This window comes from Homo sapiens, chromosome 8, assembly GCF_000001405.40.
Source record: "Homo sapiens chromosome 8, GRCh38.p14 Primary Assembly".
In the NCBI taxonomy this organism is placed as follows: domain Eukaryota; kingdom Metazoa; phylum Chordata; class Mammalia; order Primates; family Hominidae; genus Homo; species Homo sapiens.
In genome coordinates this window covers 85,849,863-85,858,521 of record NC_000008.11, presented here as the reverse complement: position 1 = coordinate 85,858,521, position 8,659 = coordinate 85,849,863, and the positions used below count along the sequence as shown (strand labels likewise).

General features: G+C 37.4%; 1 long non-coding RNA gene across 1 annotated transcript; it reads left to right on the top strand.

Annotated features, from left to right (window-relative positions):
- Window positions 1–3,140: 3,140 nt before the first annotated feature.
- Window positions 3,141–6,003, top strand: LINC02849 (long intergenic non-protein coding RNA 2849). The gene is made up of 3 exons (XR_001745725.3): window positions 3,141–3,218; window positions 3,846–4,012; window positions 5,750–6,003. It is a non-coding gene; the product is annotated as a long intergenic non-protein coding RNA 2849 (long non-coding RNA).
- The last annotated feature ends 2,656 nt before the right edge of the window (window positions 6,004–8,659 follow it).

The window sequence follows — 8,659 nt, the reverse complement described above, 5'->3', positions numbered from 1 at the left end:
TGTAACTGATTATTCCTCTTTATAAGAGGTTCTCAATCAGGAGGGCCAAACAGAATCTTCTGTGGAACTTTGAAATTCTCCCTCTCCTCCCCAAATATGCACAATCTTCTATATTTTTCTATCCCCCTTTCCAGCTAAACTGCTTGAAAAAATAATCCCTGACTCCACTGCCTTTCCCTCCTTTCCTTGTTCAATTCCCTCCCGTCCAACACCCACGACTCTCTCCACACTGAAACTTATTTTGTCGTGGTTCACATTGACCTTGTTGTGGTTAAATCTAACAGTTTACAGCCAGCATCTTTCCTAACTCCTAAGCTGCTTTGCACAGTTGACCATGGCTTCCTTTAAATACTCTTCTCTTGGCTTCCTTGATTCCATATTCTCCTGATTTTCCTTCATATTCTTGGATACTCTTTCTGAGTACCCTTTAAAGGAGGTTTCCTAGTGGAAGCATCCCTGCTTCCCCTGCCCCCCATAACATCTCCTATTTCCAATGTCTCCTCAACGTTAAGCATGTAAATAACCATTCAATTTTTAGAAACTGTAATTCCTACAATGAGTTTGGTATTGCACCCCCAGGATTCACTCCCTTCCTTAAATTGAAATCAGTCAACAGTAGCACCAATTTGGGGGTCAAATAGCCATCATCAATTATTCTGCTAAAATTATCTGGTTTCTTTGCTGCTGTTCCAGTTAACCCTTGTCTATTTCATATTTACCATTGTATCCTCAGCATCTGGAGGAGGACCTGGCCATATCAGTATGCATCAGTATGATTTTGGCAGCAAGTAATGGAAACTCCAACTCAAAATGATCTAAGCAAAATAGAAATGTTATCTTTCCTATAACTGGAGGTCCAGCATAGAGTACACCAGTGATTTCATGAGGCCAGCAAGAGCTAAGATTTTTCCAGCCCCACCACTTAGTTATCTTCTACGTCATCTTCATCCTAAGGCTGATGCCATTCGTGACACAACAGGGATACCAGTTAGAGACACGGGAAACAACATGTTTACTTGTTTGAGAGAATTCCTGTCCTTTTATAGCTCTGTACATCTAGTTAACACTGGATAAGCAACAATAGTAACTGGGCTAGTTATTTTATTTTTAGGGGGTGGAAGGGAGGAACACCCATTTGGAGCATTTTACCCAGAAGTGAAAAACTCTTGGTATAGATAATATATAAAGCCAATCAGATTTCATGTATATAATATGATTACAGAGACGATACTGACCCCATGTAAGCAAAACATTTTTGAGATTTCCTGGGGTATGAATCTCTTTCCATTCCTTAAAGTCAAGCCCGTTCAGGAACAAGTTTACAACTTTTGCTGTAAGTAAAGTGCTTTACCTTGAAAATTTCATTCTGCTTTTCCAATCCCCAATTCCTGGGACTAACTACCCCAGAATTTCTGAGGAAGAAAGATTTTTTTCTGTGTGGTTCTTTAAGTCTTGCCCTCAAACTCAGGGGGAAAATATATATATATATATATATATATATACACACACACACATATATATATATATATATACACACACACATATATATATACACATATATATATACACACATATATATACACATACATATATACACATATATATATACACATATATATATACACATATATATATACACACATATACACACACACACACACACATACACACAGACACACAGACACACACATATATATACACACACACACGTATATATATATAACTTCAGAAGCACCCTGAAATTGTATTTTTTGAATGGATGACCCTGCTAAACAGCTTCAGTTTCTTCTAACTGCTTCAAATTGCCCAAACTTCAAACACTGACTTAAAAGCCATTAAAGGCAAGCTAGTTTCCCTTTCTCTGTGGTGTAATCCTCTACATATTTCCTAGCTTGGCTGTCGTCCTTCCTCTTGCTCGGTTTCAAATCTGGGTTTCCTTTCCCTTGGCTTATATGCTATTCTTAGCCCAATGCCTGTCCTTTGGATTTGTCAGCCACATTTATCCCGGATTAAACTCTCAGCATTGTCTCAAAGCTTTGCTTGAATGCTGCCCTGGCTGGATCTGCTCTGAACTGTTCTGGGCTGTCAGGTTCCAGGATACTAAATTCCTCCAGCTGTCCTGAGTGTGTACTTTCTCCATTTCCTCGTGCCCACTTTCCTCATTTTATGTTTAATTTTTTTCTTGTAATCCATAATTATCAGTACCAGGCTGTCTAAACACTAATTTCCCCTGCATCATTCATTACAGAATAGCTTACACAAGAAGGCATTTGCATTTACATGAGACAACTTTAGCTCTGCCTGTCCAGGGGCACGGGTTCAGCTCAGGTTGGAAAAGCTGGCTCACTTCAATACGGCTGACCCCGTTTGCTTTACTTGAGTTAAATGAGTGTGTCTAATTGAAGATCTTGTTCACTCCATAGACATCAATGTCTGAGCCAATAATCAGTGGGATCTAACTAATTCAGGCTTGCTTCATTTATAACATCTGAAAGGACTCTTTACATACAATTCTGGGAAAGTAGTAACATCATTTATTAAGGGAAAAGCAACACAATAATTTAGATCAGGGTGGCCAAACTTTTTCTTTGAAGAGTCAAATAATACATAAGTCCTCACTTTAACGTTTTCAATAGGTTCTTGGAAACTGCAACTTTAAGTGAAACGACATATAATGAAACCAATCTTACCATAGGCTAATTAATCTAAACAAGAGTTAAATTCCTCCTACATATTTCTGGTCACAAAATCATCACCAAACTTCTAAATAAAAACCCAAAACACTTCTAATATTAAACATTGAAATAAATGTGGGCTATACATACATTTAAGATTAATTAAAACAAATGAGATAATTATTTACCCAATTTTTGGTGAATCATTGAGTGATGGCAGTTGTAGTAGTCATGGGTTAAATCAAAGAATAAATATTTGCAAAACGAAAATTGTAAGGAGTACCTCCTACCACCACACAACTCAAAAACAAACAAAAACCAACACAGCAGGCTCTCTGAGTGCTTTCATGCTGCATCGTTTATTGTTATGCATTTGTATGATTACCATATACTTTATGACATTTTTACTCTGAAATAATTTATATTAATTAATTTATTTATTCATTTTCTAAACCACTTATTCAGGGTCAGAGTGGCCGGAGCCTATCCCAGCAGCTCAGCGAGCAAGGCAGAAACCCACCCTGGACAGGATGCCATCCCATGGTAGGGGCACTCACACACACACACCCACACTCATGCCTACTGGGATAACTTAGACACGCCAACCCATCTCACGTTCACATCTTTGGGTTGTGGGAGGAAACCAGAGTGCCCAGAGAAAGCCCATGAAGACAATGGTAGAACATGCGAACTCCCCTTGTCTAGATCTGGCTGGGAATCAATTCTTTTCTCATCAACAAACATGACATTAAATGAAATGATGTTATTTGAGAACCTCCTGTAAATAATTTTGGCTTTGTGACCCTACAGTATCTGTGGCAACTACTCAACTCTGCCTCTGTAGTATGAAAGCAGCCATAGTGGGTATGGCTGTGCTCCAGTAAAGTTTTATTTACAAAAACATATGGTGGGCTAGATTCTGCCCTCAGAAGTAGTTGTCAGCCTCTGATGTAGATGACCAATATGCAGGTGACCAAAGTTCTTAAGTGTTCCCCTAGGTGGTATATTATGTGTACCAGGAGGATGAGAAGGCCTGAGTCCTGTTTGCTGGAAATTCAGTTTATCTGATTGCAAATAATATAAAATACTTTTATATTAAGACAAACTCAGTTATTTTATGGAATGGAATACATGATGGCTAATTTTTGGTGTCAACTTGACTGGATTAAGGAATATCTAGAGAGCTGGAAAAGCATCACTTCTGGGTGTGTCTGTGAGGGGGTTTCCAGAGGAGATTGGCATGAGTCAGTGAACTGTGTGGAGCAGATTTGCCCTCAATGTCAGCAGGCATCATCCAATCAGCTGGGAGCCTGGATAGAACAGAAGACAGAGAAAAGGTGAGTTTCTCTCTCTCTCTCTCTCTCTCTCTCTCCTGGAGGTGGCGTGTTCTTCTTCTCCTCCCCTTGGACATAAGCACTCCAAGCTCTCTGGCCTTTTGACTCTAAGACATGCCAGCCGCCCCCGGGGTTCTCAGGCCATTGGCCTTGGACTGAAAATTATTTCATCTGCTTCCCTGGTTCTGAGGCTTTTGAACTTGGACTGAGCTGTCCTACCAGTATCCCACGGTCTCCAGTTTGCAGATGGCCTGCCATGGGAATTCTCAGCCTCCATAATCCCATCAGTTAATTCTCTTAATAAATCCCCTCTCAAATATCTACATCTACCTATCTACCTTATTGATTCTGTCTCTCTGGAGAACCCTAAATCATATAGAATACATTTATAGGCCTTTAAGAGTGAAAATGTGCAGCTTTAAAGGGCTGTGGACTTTGTTAAGACAGGCTCTTGGGAATACATTTTTAGCTCTCCTCTGCTATTACGGGAATTTGGGTGGAAAAGTTTGAGAGCCACTGACTTAGAGACACTTACGTAACTAATTACTACATGGGAACACCAGTGTGGTCTCATTTAATCACAGCCCCTTCATTTATCTGGAGATGTCGGAAACGCAGCTAATGCTTTCCCATTGCATTGTTTCGAGGTTAATATGCTCAGTGCTCTTCTGATATTTCATATGGGTCTCTGCCTACTAGTCACTGGGACTCTGAAACTGTCGTTTCCCAGAAGCAGCCAATTATTTCAGTAGAGAGTCCTGAGGTTTTCTGCTATTGCTTTGCAGAAGTTGCTGCAATTGTTACATCTTTTCTGGCTCACCTCAAATTTGAACATTATAATTTCATATTCAGAGTCTCCTGCTTATCTTGTGCCCCAGTTTCAGCCATTTATTAAGCCTGTCTTGTCTTTTTGGCCATCTACTACTCTCAGGCAGGTCTTCAGAGGTCTTGTTACTCAGACACAGATGAGCAGCATGAGCATCATCTTGGAGCTTGTTAGAATTGCAGGATCCCAGGCCCCATCCCAGACCTAGTGGGTTAGAATTTGTATTTAAACAAAATCTCCAGTGATTTATATATACATTGAAGTATGTGAAGGCAACCTTTTCATGGCCACAAGGATCTCATTGGTCACTTGTTTTGTTTCTGGTTACATGGAAGCACCATTCAGTTTTCACATGCTGTGACTGTTAATTTTATGTGTCAACATGGCTGAGATATGGGGCCCAGTAGTATGGTCAGACACTAGTCTAGCTTTGCTGTGAATGTATTTTATAGATGTGACTAACATTTACAACTAGTTGACTTTAAGTTGTGAGAATTGTTAACATCAAAATGGAGTCACTTGTGAAAAAAAAATACAGCTGAAGAAAGTCATGAAAGGAGAGTTCTTATGCATAAATGACTTTTAGTAAGAATGATCACATAAGACTGCAAAAACCACAACCTTGCACAAAGGCCATTGCAACTTTACATAGAAAAACTTCTGCAAGACATCTGCCCAGCAACTGCCTGTCCAACCTTGTTATTGATCCTTGTAGCAAAGATAATTATCTTGCAATAATTATGTAATCTTCCTCATTTTTCTTTTAAAAACCTTTGTCTTCCTTTACCTCCCTGAATACTCACACAGTTTACTATGGCACACATACAGTGTGTGTCCTATTTCTGAATAGTTATAGTGTCCTATCCCTGAATAAATGTTTTCTTTTAAAGAGCATCTCTCTGTTTGTTATTTAGGTTGACATAAATGTGTCCAGAAGCAGGACCTGAAGCAAGAGCACTTTTAGAAGGAATCTGCGATTCTTGGAACTGGTGTGCAGTATTCACTTGAGATCTCTGAGCTCGCCACGTGCATGCCTTGTCTTTTCTGACCTGGTGAATCTTCTCTTAGGCTGAGTCTCTTTTTGGTAGAGGCTTTTTGACTTTCTTCAGGATTTGGTTTGGTACTAAGGCAGCCTTAAATAAAGGAACTTGCATCCCTCTTAAAACTATGGAAGTTTTGGGGGTTTGTTTGTTTGTTTTGCAAACGCTTTCTGGTGTAAAGATAAGAGTACTCTAGTTTTTACAGAATTTATATTGTTTCTCAGGCATGACTTTTCTGGTGAATTCACATTGGTTCTGGACACCTAGTTTAATGTTTTGTTTGGTCTGCATACATGGGTTAAAGTTTTTGTGAACACTCTGATTTTGGTTTAGTTACACATGTCTGTAAGTAACTTGGATCTTCTTTTCTCTAGCTTATTTCTGAAAAGCTTCTGAGAGCGAAAATATACATCCTAAATGGCGGACACAGAATGACTAATTTAAAAAGCGAATACCTGAAACACTAGTCCAAATTCCTGACATTCTCTGACAGGATTTATGGGATTTTCTTTGCTCTTGAGAGATTAATAAGAAAGAAAGTGAGATTCTCAAACATTAAGGCATGCCAGGTTTTCTGAGACTCCAGCTGGCTACATATGATGGCCTGTTCTCATGCACATTTTTAAACTAATGAGCAAACTTTCCTTCATGTCAAGGAAAATTCAGAGCTCAATGGCCATTATTCAAACTCTCTAAGCTTGTTAAAAATCTACAACCAACCATAGAGTTAACATGCAGAGCTTTCTAAGTTCTCAATCTCTCTATTTTTCCTTCTGGCTATTTTGAATCTGCTAATTTTCTACTAGTGTTGAGATAAACTCACTGCTTATGGCACACCAGACAAGATTTAAAAAAAAAAGTTTCAAAGATTTTTTTTTAAATTAATGGCTGTACAAATTACAACAGCTCCATGGCAACAAACAACCTACACATCTTTTGGGAATTAGGTTTTTTGACTTAGCAATTGCTTGGAGTAACAGAATAGTTAAATGAATATTTATATTCTAAAAGAAAGGAGGCTGGGTGTGGTGTCTCACGCCTATAATCCCAGCACTTTGGGAGGCCAAGGTGGGCAGATCACAAGGTCAGGAGTTCAAGACCAGCCTGGCCAAAGAGACCAGCGTGACTAACATGGTGAAACCTTGTCTCTACTAAGAATACAAAAATTAGCCAGGTGTGGGGGCAGGTGCCTGTAATCCCAGCTACTTGGGAGGCTGAGGCAGGAGAATTGCTTGAACCCAGGAGGTGAAAGTTGCAGTCAGCTGAGATTGTGCCATTGCACTCCAGCCTGGGCGACAGAGTGAGACTTTGAGTCAAAAGGAGGAAAGAAGGAAGGAGGAAAGGAAGGAAGGAAGAAAGGAAGGAAGGAAGGAGAAAGAAGGAGGGGAAGGAAGGAAGGAAGGAAAATAGATACATATCTATAACAGACTCTCAGATCAAACAGGTCAAGATATTAAACTTAGATCAATAATACAAAGTATCTCCAGCATAAAAAATTCCTTTGTTTGCCACTCAGGAGCCAGAAAAAAAGCAAATAAATAAAACTGCAAGTAGCTTTTTAAAAATGCTTCTCTACTCATATTGACTAGTCAAACATATTGGCAAACATGAGATAGATTTGTTATTCATTCAAGGACACTTGAAGGTTTGGATTTTCTTGTACAGTTCATCCAATACTAGCTAAAATGTATATTGAAATTTTAAACATTGAACATGTAACCCTAAACTTAACTGCAACTGAAAGGAAGAAAAAAAAAAGAGTTTTGTTTTTTTTTTTTAACCCAAACTGTTTTATCCAAAATTTTGTTCCACAGCTTTCATTAGATTACCTATCAGGGCAAATAAAGTTTAGCAATATGAACAGGTTCTATTTTGTCAGAAATACAGTTTGGATTCAAATGTCTTTAATCAATTGCTATGTTAATGTTACTGTTTTACTGTCTCAAGACTAAAATTTCAAAATAAAAGCTAGGGAACCTGCTTCTGTCTATATATTTGTGTTGTCTGTATGTTTTTATGTTGTGTGTAGGTGATATTTTCTTACTACAATATATGAAAGAGCTCTGATTAACTTAAAAGAAAAAAGTGCCTAAATATTTTATCAAAAATATAACAAACCCAAATATTTTTAATGTGACTTAAGTAAATATTTGATAAATTATTTGGTTTTAAATTTGTTGATAAAGTAAAAATAGAAATGTCTTCAGAATTGTCAATATACATTTTTGCCTAGATTTACTGGTCAATTTTATATTTGTCTTTGATAGATGTTTTAAAGTGTCAGGGTGTGACACAAAGCTTGTAAAACTATAAATTTAGCCTAGAAACAGAATGACCTTGTTTAATATTGTTGATATAATGAAAACAGCTGTATGTTTTGAGGTATTGGGAAAATATTCATTTATTTAACTTTAATATTTTTACTTAGGTGAACACCTAATAATCATAGGTTATGAAAATATTTAACAGGAAAACAACTTAAAACATCTACTAGCTTTGTCTAATATCTCAGTTTTCATAAGTTAAACTGTTTAAAATACAGTGGTTAAATTGAAACGGGATCAACATATATAAATAAACTTTTTACATAATTTAAAGTCTTAATGTTATGTTAAATAAAGTGATAGATACTCATTAAATATCTAAGTCATTTTTAAATAAGATAAAATACTTGATATGTGAGAGATGGTTTATAATTTTTTGCCTCCTAAGTTTTCACTAGAAATTAAGGTTACTAAGAGTTTAACATTTTAATCAATATATAATTCTATATATAAAGTATAT